The 16075-nt window shown below is 40.8% G+C and overlaps 1 protein-coding gene across 8 annotated transcripts, besides 2 other annotated features; it reads right to left on the bottom strand.

Annotated features, from left to right (window-relative positions):
* Positions 1363-1442: a silencer, noted in NCBI's record as "silent region_17042". NCBI's record gives its function as "represses an Ori minimal core promoter by ATAC-STARR-seq in GM12878 lymphoblastoid cells {active_cell/tissue: GM12878}" and the evidence as "EXISTENCE:reporter gene assay evidence [ECO:0000049][PMID:35858748]".
* Positions 4634-5448: an enhancer, noted in NCBI's record as "OCT4-NANOG hESC enhancer chr6:28203630-28204444 (GRCh37/hg19 assembly coordinates)". NCBI's record gives its function as "activates a minimal SCP1, AML or CMV promoter by ChIP-STARR-seq in naive H9 embryonic stem cells {active_cell/tissue: H9 hESC(naive)}" and the evidence as "EXISTENCE:reporter gene assay evidence [ECO:0000049][PMID:30033119]".
* On the bottom strand, positions 7813-16060 carry ZSCAN9 (zinc finger and SCAN domain containing 9). Of its 8 annotated transcripts, none has more exons than NM_001199479.2 (5): positions 15934-16025; positions 13796-14288; positions 13463-13610; positions 10812-10964; positions 7813-8738 (listed from the first exon to the last, which is right to left on the bottom strand). In NM_001199479.2, the coding sequence occupies exons 2-5, from the start codon at positions 14213-14215 to the stop codon at positions 8122-8124; spliced, it is 1338 nt and encodes a 445-aa protein (NP_001186408.1). In that variant the 5' UTR covers positions 14216-14288; positions 15934-16025; the 3' UTR covers positions 7813-8121. The 8 variants fall into 8 exon arrangements, with proteins under 8 accessions (NP_001186408.1, XP_047275273.1, XP_011513177.1 ...); XM_047419317.1 differs by having other exon boundaries at positions 15970-16025; XM_011514875.3 differs by lacking the exon at positions 15934-16025 and adding an exon at positions 15294-15883 and having other exon boundaries at positions 10812-10982.

The following is a 16075-nucleotide window of genomic DNA, read 5'->3' as shown; positions in this document are numbered from 1 at the left end:
TTTGCAGTCCCCTTCTATTTACAATGTCAACCTATGACCCTGGATTTGAATGCAGCAAGATTTCCTGGACTCCTTTCCCAATTAATGGTTGAACATTGGGGTATATTCCTGCCTGCTTTATGTATTTTGTTGAATTGGAATATTACCCAAAATCCTCTGCACATTTTTTCAAATTCCTGTTTTTACTGCCATTTCTAAGGTTGGTACTTCAAGGTTTTCAGGGATCTAGGAAAGCAATCCTAATGTAACGTATTTGTAAACAAGTAATAAACCATATGATTATTCCTTTCCTCTGAGTGAATTCTTAAATAGATAATGGATTGCATAATTTCCAAACTGTCAGAAAATAACTATCATTTCAGGTATTAACTAAAGCATTAAAACCTTTAACAATTTTCTCCCTTTTTTCTCTCCCACCAGTTCTGCCCATAAGCATTGGGAGCTTGGGAAATGGAGTTTGTAGCCTTACAGACACACTTAGAGCACAGGGTATACAAGGCCTGCTGCGGGGCTGAGATATATGAGGGATACAAGAGATAGACAAGATATATGACTGGCTTTTCACTGTAACCTCAGCACCTAAAAGAGTTCCTCTTAGATCAGTGAATGTGGAAATTGGCTGACTCAACTTTTTCTTTTGTACTGTTTAAGTAAATCAAGATGCCTTGACAGCCAAAGTATGTGCATATCTGCTTCCAGAAATACTAGGCTTTCCCTATTTCTAAACAAGTTATGTATTCCTAACCATTCATTCAACAACCCCCAATTGCTTATGTCATGTCTATGCTCAGGCACTAAGGAAATAAAGATGAACAAGATGTTGTCTTTGCCCTGGAAAAGCTTGAGAGCTACTCTCTATTTTTACCTGCTAGGTTTTGATTTGTAGTTTACTTTTAAGGTAGATTCAGAAGCTGATCATTTCTCACCACCTCCACTGCTACCATCCTGATCTGAGCCACTCTTGCTCTCCCATGATTATCACTATGGAAGCCTACAAATGAGTCCCCTTACAGTTTCTTCTCAATATATCAGTCAGAGTAACCCTTTTTAAATTCCTGCATAATCTAAGTGGGATCACACACATCATTCTTCCACTCAAAACCCTGCAATGGTTTCCATTTTCACCAAAATTAACAGCCCAAGCCCTTACAGAAGTAGGCAAGGCTCTTCACAGTCTGCCTTCACATTACCTCTCTGACCTCAACGTTTTTTTTGTGTTTTGTTTTTTGTTTCTGTTTTTGAGGCAGGGGTCTCACTCTGTTGCAATTTACCTATATAACAAACCTGTGCATGTACCCCTGAACCTAAAATAAAAGTCTAAAAAGAAATACTTAAAGTGTTGAAGAATACAACTGTCAATCTTCTGAGCAGACTGAGTTAATAAGGGCTCTCTAACTTACTGCAGACACATAGAAACTACCATTCAGGGGTGACGGTTAAATGAAAACATGTTAACACAAAGCCTGAGAGAATCTGCAGTTGCTAAACAAACCACTGAAACATGTGCTTCAGTGAGAAGAAAAATGAATCTCCCAGAAAGCCCCAGTGAGTGAAACCAATTTGTTAAAATGTATACATGGAAATCTAGTTAATCATTGATGATAAAAATCCAATAATAACAACAATGATAATAACAATGATCACTTTGGGGGAAAGAAAGCTTAAAAACAAGTAGAAATAAAATATTAATCAATAATGTTATGTAATATTGGAGAGGGTTGATAGGAGGCATTCCAAGTTTTGTATAATATGGAAAAGGGTGAGGAAAGAGATTAGTTTCATAATCTCACAAGCCAGGTGGGCATATGGACATTTTATGCCCATGTGTAAATGTATAGTTTTCAAACATGTAAATAGGGGGAAAATAAGAAAATATAGCCAACACAAGACAGGAACTAACAAAAAATCAAAGAAAGATCATGAAAAATAGAATGACAAAATCAGGTGGTGGAAATAAATCAGTAATCATAACAAATATCTATGGATGAAATGGATTCACAGTTATAAGATTTGGACATAAAAATATTGTAAAAGGATATTAAAATCAATTTAAAAAACATACTGCTTAGGAATGCATATATATGAAATAAAATTATATATAAAAAAGGAAAGCAAGAAATGATAAAATTGGGATTCAGGATGATGTTCCCGCAACTGGAAGAAGTCAGGTAGCTGAAATAAGGAGTACCAAATGATTAGATGTATATGTGGTTTTCAAGGTCTTTTGTTTTGAATGGCAGGTTAAAGAGTGCTAATTTAATTATTAAAAATAACTACTTAAATTAAGAAAGCAATAATCAAAAGCATGCCATTCGTGGGCTGACATCGTTTGGATCTGTGTCCCCATGAAATTTCATGTCAAATTGTAATCCTCAATATCGGAAGCAAGCCCTAGTGAGAGGTGATTGGATCATGAGGGTGGGTTTCTCATGAATGGTTTAGCACTATCCCCCTTGGTACTGTCCTTGCAATAGTGAGTTCTTGTGAGATTGGGCTGTTTAAAAGTGTGTGGCATTTTCCCCCTCTCTTTCTTGCATCTGCTCTGGCTATGTGACATGCCCACTCCCTTTTCACCTTTCACCAAGATTGTAAGCTTCCTGAGGCCTCCCCAGAAGCCAAGCAGAGCCGGCATCATGCTTCCTGTATAGGATACAGAACCATAAGGCAATTAAACCTCTTTTCTTTATAAATTACCTAGTCTCAGGTACTTCTTTAGAGCAATGAGAGAATAGACTAATACATGGACCAATGATATTAGCGTGTTATGGATCACATAAAGGAATATAAATAATACAATTCTGTGCACTTGATATCCAAAGGAAATCATTTTTTAAAATGCAAAGGGGTGAGAAAGAGATACTAAGCTAATAATCTCTAAAAGATTTTGGCCTAGTTACATTAATATCAGACCACATAAGCATTGTTAGCGATAAAAAACATCATGATTAAAGGAATAATTCCTCAAGAAGACATGCAATTCCTGAACTTCTATATACCTCAACTCATAACCTTAGAATATGCAAAGCAAAATTGACATAATACAAGGAGAAACTGACAAGTCTTTTCCCCACAGCAAAGTATTAACAAACCTCTCCCAATAATCAATAGATCAGGCCAGGTGGGGTGGCTCACACCTGTAATCCCAGCACTTTGGGAGGCCAAGGCAGGTGGATCACTTGAGGCCAGGAGTTCAAGACCAACCTGGCCAACATGACGAAACCCCAATTCTACTAAAAATACAAAAATTAGCCGGGCATGGTGGCATAAGCCTGTAATCCCAGCCACTCAGGAGGCTGAGGTTGTAGTGAGCTGAGATCGTGCCACTGCATTTCAGCCTGGGTGACAGAGCGAGATTCTGCCTTAAAAAAAAAAAAAAAAAAATCAGAGGGCAAACAAAAACTTCGGCTATAGGAAAATTTGAATACAGTTAACAAACTCAAAAAACTGATATTTTAACAACAGAAAATCTGTTAATTCACCACATTAAGATCAAAGGAGGAAACACTATATCATCATTTTAACATAAGCAGAAACATTATTTGATAAAATTCAATACTCATTTGTGACAAAGACTTTTAGTAAATGAGGACTAAATGGGAATGTTCTTAATATTATGGAGGATAATGATCAGAAACTCACAACAAATATGATATGAATCATTAGATGAATCCATTCAAAATCAGGAATAAGATGACTATTAGTATGATTTCTACCTAACATTGTCCAGGAGAGATTGGCCACTGCATCAAGACAAGAAAGGGAAATAAGAAAGGGAAGAAATAAAACCCTCCTTATTCATAACAATATTATTTTTAAAATTCAATGTTAGTTCTCAAACAGAGCTAAAGAAACAATTGAGGAAGATGTTTTGAGAGCAGAACAGAGGTAGTGAGTGGGGTGGGAAGAGCAGGGAAGGAAAGAAGTTAGGATCGAAGAACATTTAGATGGATTAGTTGAGACTATTGCAGAACAAATGGAATTTACATATGATTAAATGATTAGTTAGGGTATAGACATATATGAAAATGGAGAATTTCATTCAATACAGAAACCTTTACTTTTTAATATTAATTTACTTTTAAAACCCATGTGAGTACAGTCTGTAATACACTTTAAAAAAAAATGAGGCAAAAGAAAAAGTCTCACAAAAACTCCAACTTAAAACTCTCTCACCAGTATGTCAGATACTCCTTTTGCCTTGGCATATTATATGCAAATTTGGTAATATCTCTTTCTATTTGTTTGATGCAGCATTTTATAGATTGCATTGTCCTTTCATATAGTCATGTGCTACATGTTTCAGTCACCTAGTGACATTGTAGCTATCTTAACAGCTTAGTGCAATGCATTATTCATGTGTTTGTAGTGATGGTGTCAACAAATATTTTAAAAATAAATTTGGTGTAGTCAAAGTGTACAATGTTTATAAAGTCTACAGCAGTGTACGGTCTTCACATTCACTCTTCACTCACTGACACCCTGACCAACTTCCAGTCCTAAAAACTGCATTCATAGTGTCTATACAGGTATACCATTTTTTTTTATCTTTCACACTGCATTTTTACTAGATTTTTCTATGTTTAGATACACAAATACAGCATTGTGCTACAAATGTCTGCTGTATTCAACACAGTAGCATGCTGTATAGGTTTGCAGCCTAGGGGCAACAGACTATACCATCTACCCTAGGTTCATAGTAGGGTATACCATCTATGTTGTGTAAGTATATTCTATGATGCTTGTACAGTGACAAAATCATACAACAGCACATTTCTCAGGATGTATCCCTGTCATTTATAGGACTGTAATTGCTATCTGCTGTTTTTCAAAAACAATCCTGCAAATAGGAGGATAGGTGAAGAAACTGGGGCCTGAGAGGTTACGTGTGGTGATGCATGCCAGTGGTATCCTGCCCAGGTCCCCTTTTCCAAGTCAGTACACCCATTCTCCAGTTGCCAGGAAGGTCAGTGCACCCACTCCCTGATTATCATGAGCACTGGCTGCTAATGGCTCACAGTCATCACCTTCTCTGAAGAATTGTCCTTGGACAAAGGGAGATAATCTATTCTCTCCGGGAAGTCCTCAATCCACAAGGCACTGATTGAGGTACAAAAGGCTGGCCCCTTGCCTCAAGGGTAAGTTTTGTTCCAAAGATCCTTCTTCCAAAGTAGACTAAACTAGACTTAAGCTCAGACCACATCTTGCTCAGCCCACTTCCTCTTCCATATCTTGCTTCCCTCTCTGCCTTGCAGCTTTTTTCCTGCAGCTTATTTTGCCTCAATAAATTCCCTAGACTTGAATCCATGCCTAGGCTCCGCTTCTAGGAAACCCAACCCAAGTGACTTATCCAAGGTCCAAACTCTAGAATTGATTAGGCATGGACTCCATCTCAGGGGTCCTGACTCCTGGTCCACTCCTGTTTTTTAACTATACCATGTGGTATTGAGACATAACAAAAAAAAGAGAAGAGGCTACTTTAATATTTAAATTTTTGAATTTTCACTCACTCAAGACGATTAATGTCATCAGTAATAGGTAATTCCCATACCATTTGTTTGGTATAGGAAGGTATTATATTTAACATTTCTGTCAGATGATCCTGGAGTTTATCATTTAAACCTACTATGACACGAAAATTCTTCTTAGGCTTCCCTACAATGTGTAGAACTTTTTCCTGATGCAAAAAAAGAAATGGGTGTCTTAGGTAAGCTGATATTTTGTGGAGTTTTTAGGTGATGCTACGTATTAGGTAACTTATTTTCCCTCTGATGGGAAAGTGTTGCTAAGGGTTTTGACTTAAAATCCAACTTCCTTGGCCACTCATTCAGTGGAGAAACAAGAAAAAAGAAACATTTTACAATCTGCTCTCTCTCTGAAGTCTGCTACCTGAGAGATTCCTCTGCACAATAAAACTTGATCTCCACAATCCTTTACCTTAGCCTAAACATTCCTTTCCATTAATCCCAGGTCTTCAGATAAACTCAACCAATTGTCAAGCAGAAAATGTTTAAATCTACCTACAGCTTGGAAGCCCACGCTTTGATTTGTCCCGCCTTTCTGAACCAAACCAATCTATTTCTTAAATGTATTTGGTTGATGTTTCATGCCTCCCTAAAATATATAAAACCAAGCTGTACCCTGACCACCTTGGTCACATGTTCTCAGGACCCCCTTGAGGGCTGTGTCATAGGCCATGGTCAATTGTATTTGGCTCAGAGTAAGTCTCTTCAAATATTTTATGGAGTTTGACTCTTTTCGTCAACAAGTTCATGGGGTTCACTATGCTATTCCACTTCTGTTTGAATCTTACATAAAAGAGTTAAATTACATAATCCCCAATTCAAGAGTTGACTGCTCTGCAACACATTTAGGAGTTACTGAAAACAGTGCAAAACTCAACTGTGTATGGACTCATCCTGAGCAAATTGCAGCACTTCTTTTCCATCTCTCAGGAAACCTCTGAACATTTAAATCAAATACATAAAGGGAAGAGATGGGGTTGCAGCCTTAGTAATCATAAAAGGGAGTAAGGGAGGGCAGGCAAAGAGCCTTGGGAAACCTCAAGCCTCAAGTCTTTAGTCCTAAGAAAGGGAGATTCCTCCTCTCCATGAGTAAACTTCACTGAGAAAGAGCTTCCTCTGGGGCAGAACACTTAAGGCGACGTAAGTCTTCTCCAGTTTTTAAAAAAATTTTCTTCCTTTTTAAATTTTTTGATGGAGGCAGCATAATTGATTTTTTTTTTTTTGAGACAACGTTTCTGGGTTTGTTTTGTTTTGTTTTGAGACGGGGTCTCTCTCTGTGGCCAGGCTGGAGTGCAGTGGCATGATCACTGCATCTCAAACTCCTGGGTTTAAGTGATCCTCTCACCTCAACCTCCTATCTGGGGACTACAGGCACACACCACCACACGCAGCTAATTTTAAAATTTTTTCTTTGTAGCAACAGGGTCTCACTATGTTGCACAGACTGGTCTCGAACTCCTGGCCTCAAGCAATACTGTGGCCTTGGCCTCCAAAAGCTCTGGGATTACAGGCTTGTACCACCACACCTGGCGTACAATTGATTTTCTTAAAGATCTACACAGGGAAGAAATTTTTTTCTCTAGACCTAAGCCAAGCAAACAGAAGAGAAAGACTGAGGACATTTCAGACAGTAGCTAGCATCTTACCTGGATTAATCCAGTTCTCTGATGTGGCCTGGTACTCAGGATACAGATGACTTTCTAACACTGAAGATGTGATAGAAAAACTCTAAGGGAGTTCCAGGTGACTAAAATGTAGAAATCTGGTATCAGTACAAAGCTTGACATCATAAAGAAATTGAGATTTGGAGTTAAAAGCCAAGGTTTAACTAAAAAGGTGTGATGTTACAAGTTAACATTAGGAGAATCTAGGTGAAGGGAATATGAGAACTCCATCTCTGCAACATTTCTGTAAGTCAAATATTATTCCAAAATTAAAGCATTACTAAAAATAAAAGTTCAGGGTTTCAGCCTTGGCTCTGATGCTTGGATTTTCTAAGCCTTGGAGTCCTCATCTGTAAAATGCGATAATGATAACGCTCATTTCCCTGTGTGGCTGTTGTGAGGACCAACTATGGTTAAGTAAGCGGACACACACTGCAGACACTGAAACACACAGCCAATGCTGGTCACTTTCCAAGGGAGAGTCACGTAGGTGTCAGAGAGAAGCAGTAAGGTAGAAAAGGTGTTTATAGTGTAGACCCTGGTCACAGGGAACACCAAAGACCCAATTGTTATAAACCATCAGTAGAACTCTGTTATCCTTTGTAGTTAAACACAGATACCAAATCTTTCAGGCATGTTGGCTGTGGCAGTGCCATTTATTATATTATTAGAAGGGTTTAGCAGCCATCTCAAAAAAATAAATAAATTATAAATAAGAGGGACACAGCTAGTAAGAGTAAGAAAGAGGTAAAATGAACAAAAGAGAAAACAGTAGCTTCAAACACCCAACTTTCCTTTAAGGAAGTCCCTGGGCCTTAAGTCAGGATTTGTTTCAAACACATTTCATGGAGAAAGGAAGAAAGAGGCATTTTCTAGTCTCAACCTGCCCCACACAACTTGGGTGGTGATCTGGAAAACTTGCTCATAGCCAAGCCCTAGACCAGCTCAGCCACTGTGTGGATCTTCTGATGGCGAATGAGGTTGCAGTGTCGATTAAAGCTTTTCCCACATTCAATGCACTGGTGAGGTCGCTCCCCTGTGTGGCTTCTCTGATGTTCAATGAGAAATGAACGCCGACTGTAGCTCTTACTGCACTGGCTGCACTGATACGGCTTTTCTCCTTTGTGGATTCTCTGATGCTGGATAAGACCCGCACTCTGACTGAAGACCTTCCCACACTCCTTGCAGTGGTACCGTTTCTGTATATTGTGGATTCCTCGGTGATTAAAAAGACCAGAACTTCGACTGAAGGCTTTCCCACATTCATTACATTCATAAGGTCTTTCTCCAGTATGAATTCTTTGATGTCGAATGAGACCTGAGCTCTGAGTAAAGCTCTTCCCACATTCATCACATTTGTGTTGCCCCTCTCCTAAGAGGTTTCCCCACTGCCTCTCTATCCTATCCTTATGTTCACCAACTTCTCCATGTGAGGGATCCTGCTGTGATACCTCCCAGGTCTGCTCATTAAACATTTTCCCATGTGGTTCCACTATCTTAGGACAGTCTTTCCTTAGCACCAACTCTCTGTCCTCAGTCTTGGTTACTTCATCTGAAACAAAGAAAAAGGCTAGGTAAATGTCACTTGTTCCCTGAGCCTATGGGAAGGTGACTATGTCTATAAAAATATATCATAGAAAAGGAAGTGGGCTAGAAACAGAAGGGCTAGTGTGGTAACACTTTCCCCTACGTAGGGAGGAACGTTTGCCCTCTTTGGCATAATGCAGGTCAGTCCATCCCCATGTAGACTTGGCCTGAGTCGTTGTTTTTTGTTTTGTTTTTTGAGCCAGAGTGTCACTCTGTAGCCCAGGCTGGAGTGCAATGGTGTGATCTCAGCTCACTGCAGCCTCCATTTCCCAGGTTCAAGCGATTCTCCTGCCTCAGTCTCCCAAGTAGTTGAAACTACAGGCACGCACCCCCACGCCCAACTAATTTTGTATTTTTAGTACAGACGCGGTTTCGCCATGTTGGCCATCCTGGTCTTGAACTCCTGACCTCAGGTGATCCACCCACCTCGGCCTCCCAAAATGCTGCGATTACAGGTGTGAGCCACTGCACCCAGCTGGCAGTACCTTTTTTATACTTCATAGGGAGGGATGGTTAAAGATTAGGGTGGCTTCTCTGGAGTATTCCCTTACACCTCTCTCTCCTTTCTGAGATAACCTCAAAGTGACCCTTTCCAAGGAAAGTTACTTCATGTATTCATTCATTCATTTTCAGAACAAGTATTAAACTTCTACTACTTAGGTGCTTCAGGCAGTCCAGTAGTCCCCACTTATCTGTGGTTTTGCCTTTACAAAGTTTCAGCTACCCACAGTCAATCACAGTTCAAATATACTACATGGAAGATTCCAGAGGCAAACAATTTTTTTTTTTTTTTTTTGAGACGGAGTCTCACTCTGTTGCCCCTTGGCTCACTGTAATCTCCGCTTCCCGGATTCAAGCGATTCTCCTGCCTCAGCCTCCCGAGTAGCTGGGACTACAGGCACACATCACCATGCCTGGCTAATTTTTTGTTTGTTTGTATTTTTAGTAGAGATGAGATTTCGTCATGCTGGCCAGGCTGGTCTCAAACTCCTGGCCTCATGATCCATCCGCCTTGGCCTCCCAAAGTGCTGGGATTACAGGCGTGAGCCACCACGCCCAGCACAAACAATTCTTAAGTTTTAAATTTGGCACCATTCTGAGTAGTATGATGAAATCTCATGCCATCTGGCTCTGTCTCACCCAGGACATGAGTCTTCCTTTTGTCCAGCATATCCACACTGTACATGCTGCCTGCCTGTTGCACACATAGTAGCCATCTTGGTTATGAGATTGACTGTTGCAGTGTCTCAGTGCTTGTGTTTACATACCCCTTATTTTACTTAATAATGGCCCCAAAGTGCAAAAGTAGTGAGGCTGGCATATTATTATAATTGTAATTGTTCCATTTTATTATTAGTTATTGTTGTTAATCTCTTACTATGCCTAATTTATAAATTAAACTTTATCTTAGGTATGTATAGGAAAAAAATAGTATATACAGGGTTCAGTATTACCCTTGGTTTCAGGCATCTACTGGGGGTCTTGGAATGTATCCCCCTTGAATAGTGAGGACTACTATACTTTATGAATTTCAAATCCACAATTATCCAAGGTGCATTCCCATCATAAGACCTTTGCTCTAGTGCTTCTCTCTTCCTGGAAACTTCTCACCTCAAATGAAAGCAAGGCCCACTCTCTCGCTTCCTTTAAGTCTTTGTTCAACTCACCTTCTCAATGAGGTCTATCTTAATTCTTCTATTTAATATCACAATCTGTTTGCCTCATCCGTAGCACTCTTAATCTCCCTTATCCTGTTCTATTTTTGCCTTATTCCATAGCCTCATCACCTTTTAACACACTGTATCATTTCTTTACTTTTATATTTATTATTATCTCCCTCTTGCTACAATCTAATCTCTACGAGAGGAGGAACCTTCTGTTTTATTCCTGAGAAACATGCCTGGCACATAGTCTGATTTCACTTTGCAACCCAGAAAAAGGCCGAGGACAACAGACCCAGGCCTCCTCTTTTGACCAAAATATTTGCCTCTTTCTCCCATATCTAACTGTCCTGTCTCTCACATACAAGAATAGGTACCTCTTAGGACTCCTCTGTTGTTAGGCCATGTTTCTCCTCCTCCTTTTAGCTGGGGGATCACAACAGGTTTGGAAAATAAAAATGTGTCTGTAGAGAACAGATGGGCCCCAAGTGGGATCAGTACTGCCCTTCTCCTCAAACTTCGTATTAAATCTGAAATCCATAAGGGAGCTGGGTAGAATATAAAAATTCAGACATTTCCCACCTTTTAATGATTACCATTTATACAACTTTCATGACTTATGAAGCACTTTCAGATATATTATCAAACTGACTCACCACAAAACTCGATGTTATTATCCCATCTCTTTAAAGAACTATAGAAAAATATGGGCCAGGCGCTGTGACTCACGCCTGTAATCCCAGCACTTCGGGAGGCCGAGGCGGGCGAATCACGAGGTCAGGAGATCGAGACCATCCTGGCTAACACAGTGAAACCCTGTCTCTATTAAAAATACAAAACATTAGCCGGGCATGGTGGCGGGTGCCTGTAGTCCCAGCTACTTGGGAGGCTCAGACAGAAGAATGGCATGAACCCGGGAGGCGGAGCTTGCAGTGAGCCGAGATCGTGCCACTGCATTCCAGCCTGGGCGACAGAGCGAGACTCTGTCTCAAAAAAAAAAAAAAAGAAAAATATGGGAAGATACATATATATGGGTAGGCAGACTATATAGAGAAACGTCTGCAAAATATGCAGCAAAGTGACAAGAGTAGCTACCTCTAGGGAGTAGGATTTGGAAAACTTCCATTTTTTACTATATAAACTTTTGTATTATTTGGATTTTTAAATAATCAGCATAACTTAAAAAGAAACTCAAGCTTACCTATTAAATATTGCTTGGCTAAGAATTTGAAAAGCTGGAACTTGAATTTGGTCCTTGTAATTTCAAACACTATGTTGTTTTATAATATTGGCTTTATCTAAATTTGTAACACATACCTGCGCTGATATCCTACAAGGAGAACACTCCAGTCTCCAGATGCCCTCTGGATATTCTCCTACAGCCATAGTAGATGCTTAATAAACACTTGTTGAATGATAGATGGATAGATAAGTGGATAGGTGGAAAATATAGATGTGCTTCTTGGAAAAGGGGATACTCAGCAGGGTTCTAGATGCAGTTTGGAAGGTAGAAGAAAGGAAGTGGCTAGAAAATAAAAGGTCCAAGTTCATAGAGAGAGGAAGAAGAAAGAAACAAATTGACTGGAAAGATGCTCATAAAGAGGGAAAATGATATCAGAAGCAATTTTAATCTGATAAAGTCACAGAAGCTATAAGAAGGTCTGCACAGAATTTACTCAACACATACACTTTAATTTAAATCAAGAGATGAGTTCCATGTAATAGAAATCCATAATTGCTAGGGTAAATGAAATAAACAGAACCTAGGGACAAAGAGGCAAGGGAAGTTGCAGCTTTGATGCATATAGGGGTAATATGAAACTGAAAACAGTAGAACCTTGCTACAGATTGATTGTCAGAACATTAACAAAAAGTCAGTAAGAGGGCATGATTTTATGTGTGGGAAATCAGACAAGCTAGAGCCAATTCCTGCAGGGAGGGCTAGAATGGGAAAGCAGCTGACTCAGTCCCAAGTGCTCAGTACTATATCCACAAGGGTGGTCACTGCCACCACTCAGAAGATTACAGAGAAGGAAATGGCAAAGTCTGATTTCACTGGATTCTCCCATACAGTTCTGCCACTTACTAAGCATATCTGATATCTTTCTACTCCAAGTATGAACCCAAATCAGCAAGGGTGGCACTGGTGATTTGTGACAATAGTGACCATGTATTAAGCATAATGCATGCCAAGTGCTTTTCATAAATTGTATTTGATACTCACAATGACTTTCTGAGGTACATACTGGTTACGGACTAAATTGTATTCCCTCACATATGCTGAGGTCCTAACCCCTCAATATGATTATATTTGGAGATAGGGCCTTGAGGAAGGTATTAAAAGTTAAATGAGGTTATAAGGAAGGGCCCTATCGGGTAGGAATGGTATCTGTCCTTATAAGATGAGAGAGCTTGCTCTCTCTCTGTATGCATACAGAAGAAAGGCCATGTGAGGATACAGCAAGAAGATGGCCATCTATAAGCCAGGAAGAGGCCTCACCAGAAACCAAACCTGATGGTATCTTGATCTTGGACTACTAGCCTTTGAAAATGTGAGAAAATAAATTTCTGTTAAAGACAACCAGTCTGTGGTATTCTCTTAAGGCAGCGCAAGTAGACTAAACCAAAGCTATTATCAACCCCATTTTGTAGATGAGGGATCTGAGGTCAAGTGGTTAAGTAATCTGCCCAATACAAGCAGCTTCCATGAGGCGATGCCAGGATCTGAACCTGTCTGTCAAACCTTGAAGTCCATTCTCTGAAGCTGTGCTCCACAGCGATCCCTGAAAGCCTTCCTCATGTACCATGCATCAGAAGTCCAGAAAGCTTCCAGGGTGGTACTCAGGGAGAAGTCTGCACGCAGGGAGAAGGGTCAAAGATGAGCACACTAGGCTCTCAGAAGAACTGACCATTACTGCTATCTGGTAAGGAGTCTTTGGGTCTCCTGTTTTCCCAGCTCTGGGTTTATTGTTTGTTTTTGCTTGACCAGGTGGGATTCGTTCAACATCAAATAAATGCTGTCCCTCACCTGTCTCTCCAATAGAATGGCACTTCTGAGCAGAGTCACATGTGAGCTGTGGCTCCTTAGGCTGGGACTGAAGGGTCAGTGGTGTCTGCTCTGCTAGAGGCACCATCTCTTTACAGAGGACTTCTTGTCTGTGTCTGTGGGCCACCATCTGGGGACAAAAAGACAAGATTTGACTTTTGAAGAAATTAACTGTCTGAAATAAACACTTCCAAGAAAGAAGGAAACAGGAAGAGAGTATTTTATCACCAATGTCAAGGAGACACAAAGCAGAAGTGACAAGGATTCTTGGCATGCCAAAATACACATTTTTCTCTAGCAAATCTCCCTTCCTACCTCATGTTGTGGTTCATCGAGCTCTCTCTCCAGATCCTCCAGCAAAATCACAGCCTCTTCTCCACTCTCTGGACAGTGTTCCCTCACCCAGCCCTGGAGCTCCTTGGGCAGAATGGATAGAAACTGCTCCAGCACCAGCAGATCCAAAATCTGCTCCTTTGTGCTCACATGTGGCCTCAACCACTGGTAGCAAAGTTCCTGGAGTCGAGTAAGAGCCTCCCTTGGTCCAGGGGTCTCTTGGTAGCACAGCTGTCGAAAGTGCCTTCGGAAGATTTCCCTTGCCAGTGGATTACTGCGTTTCAGTCTGGATTCCTGCCATTGAAGGTGACTTTTTGCTTCCACTTTCATTGTCAGAAGTTCTTCCCATGCCTCGGGAACTTGAACACCCAGGGATAAAACCTCCTTTGAGTTTGTATTCATCTTGACCTTGAACAGCTTAAAAGGTACCCTCCAGCTGGAGCTATGCTTCAAGACAAACCTTGGAGGCGCTTGCCTAAGCAGTAAAAATAAATTATTTATATAGAAAAATGATAATAGCTGATGACAGAAACTGATAATACAAGCAATTATCATAGGCCCTAAAGCTCTTCTCTGAAAAGTGATTTGGTGACCAAAGGATGGAAATAATGGAAATATATATATTCATAATGTGCTAAGAGCATAAGCTTTTAAGTTACCCAGATATGGGTTTTCTTTCTTTCTTTTTTTTTTAAATGGGGAATTTCACTCTGTTTCCCAGGCTGGAGTGCAGTGGCATAATCACAGCTCACTGCAACCTCAAACTCCTGGGTTTAAGTGATCCTCCCACCTTGGCTTCCCAAAGTGCTGGGATTACGTCAGCCACCACAGCTGACCCAGACCTAGGTTTTATTCTGATCCTAATATTTACTAGTTGTGTGACCTTGTGCCAAGTTTTTAAATCTTCTTTCAATCTTGATTTCTTTATGTGAAGAAGAAATAGCAATAATGCTTCACAGAGTTCATGGAGGAAAACAGCCCATGAATTAGGGACTGCACCGATCACTCAGAAAGTCTGAATAAAAAGTTTGAACTCACTGTATAAACATCAACTTAGAGAAAGAATAAATGGAAATATTGTTACTGTCGACTAAATGAACGAACCAACATTTACTTTACTATTTACTTCAGTTTTCTTAATCTTCAAAACAACCATTTAAGGTTAGTATTATTTTCACTAAATTTACAGAAAGAAAGGCTTAGGTGGATTCCAAGTCCTGGAGCTTTCCACACCGCCCTGCTGCTACTGAAGAATAACAGTCAACACTGCACAAGTCTACAATATGCTTTCAGATACAAGACTATATTTCATCCTCACAATTACCCACTGAGGTTTTATTATAATAATTATTTCACTAGATAAGAAATGGAAGCCAGGGAAAGTTAAGTAGATTGCCCAAGGTCAACTTCTTTTTGAGGACAATCCTAAGAAGCCAAAGAAGCCCAAGGGAAAAGTTTTCTCCACAGACGCAGGAAGCACCTGAAACCCATGGGGGTGTTCCCAAAATGTGTGTCTCCAAAATGCCAGGAAGCACAGCGCAGCAGCTGAATTCCAGCTTGAAAGGCCCTATGGCAGACATCTGGGGAATCTGAATTGGGAGGTGGAGAGAAGTACAGGGAGACCCAGAATATGCCCTTTAACGGGCTCCTCAGTGATTTGTATGTATTATAAGGTTTGAGAATCAATGAACTAAGGAAAAGGGAATCGGGAACTGCTACATTCTGCGCTTGAAAACCAGTCCATTCAACGCCCCTTAATTTGCTTTCAGAATCTAGAGGTAAGAGGGTATACAGGTTCTCCATCGTGAAGGCTGCCAAAGTCTTAATTGTCCTTAACTTCCTCTCCCGGGTGTTTCTTTCCCTGAGTCCTAAGCCTGTTGTCGTTATTCACCGAGGTGACCCTTCAGCCTCGCAGTCCTCCTACAACCCTTTCTTGTACAATGTCCCCACAGCTGGGGATGACCACTCTGGTCTAGGGGACGCCCGAAGCCGCCCGGCACTGACCGCCGCCCCCTCCTCCGGCTCCCACTTCCCAGCGGCTGAGGTTCACTTTCCACACCCCTTTTCCAGCCCCACCCTCCCTGACCCGCCTCCATTCCCGGTCCCCACAGCCAACTCACGAGACCCGGAACGCGCAAGGAGGGAGAGGGGGTTACCGGCCCGGCGTTGCTAGAAGCGCGGCACGAACAATGGCCGGGCAGGGAACAAAGATGCCGACCTCTCCTCGAAGGCGGACGGAGCAGAGGCACTTCCGGGCCGGTC

The sequence above is a fragment of the Homo sapiens genome, chromosome 6 (genome assembly GCF_000001405.40).
Source record: "Homo sapiens chromosome 6, GRCh38.p14 Primary Assembly".
NCBI lineage: Eukaryota > Metazoa > Chordata > Mammalia > Primates > Hominidae > Homo > Homo sapiens.
Note: the sequence above shows the minus strand (reverse complement) of the source record. Positions and strands in the feature narration are given on the sequence as shown.

Coding starts and splice junctions, on each gene's coding strand:
- ZSCAN9 (XM_011514875.3), bottom strand. CDS start 15,616: ATGGAGAACCTGTATACCCTCTTACCTCTAGATTCTGAAAGCAAATTA. Junction 13,611..13,795: donor TCGATGAACCACAACATGAG/GTAGGAAGGGAG, acceptor TTTTGTCCCCAG/ATGGTGGCCCACAGACACAG. Junction 10,983..13,462: donor CCATTCTATTGGAGAGACAG/GTGAGGGACAGC, acceptor TATTCTACCCAG/CTCCCTTATGGATTTCAGAT.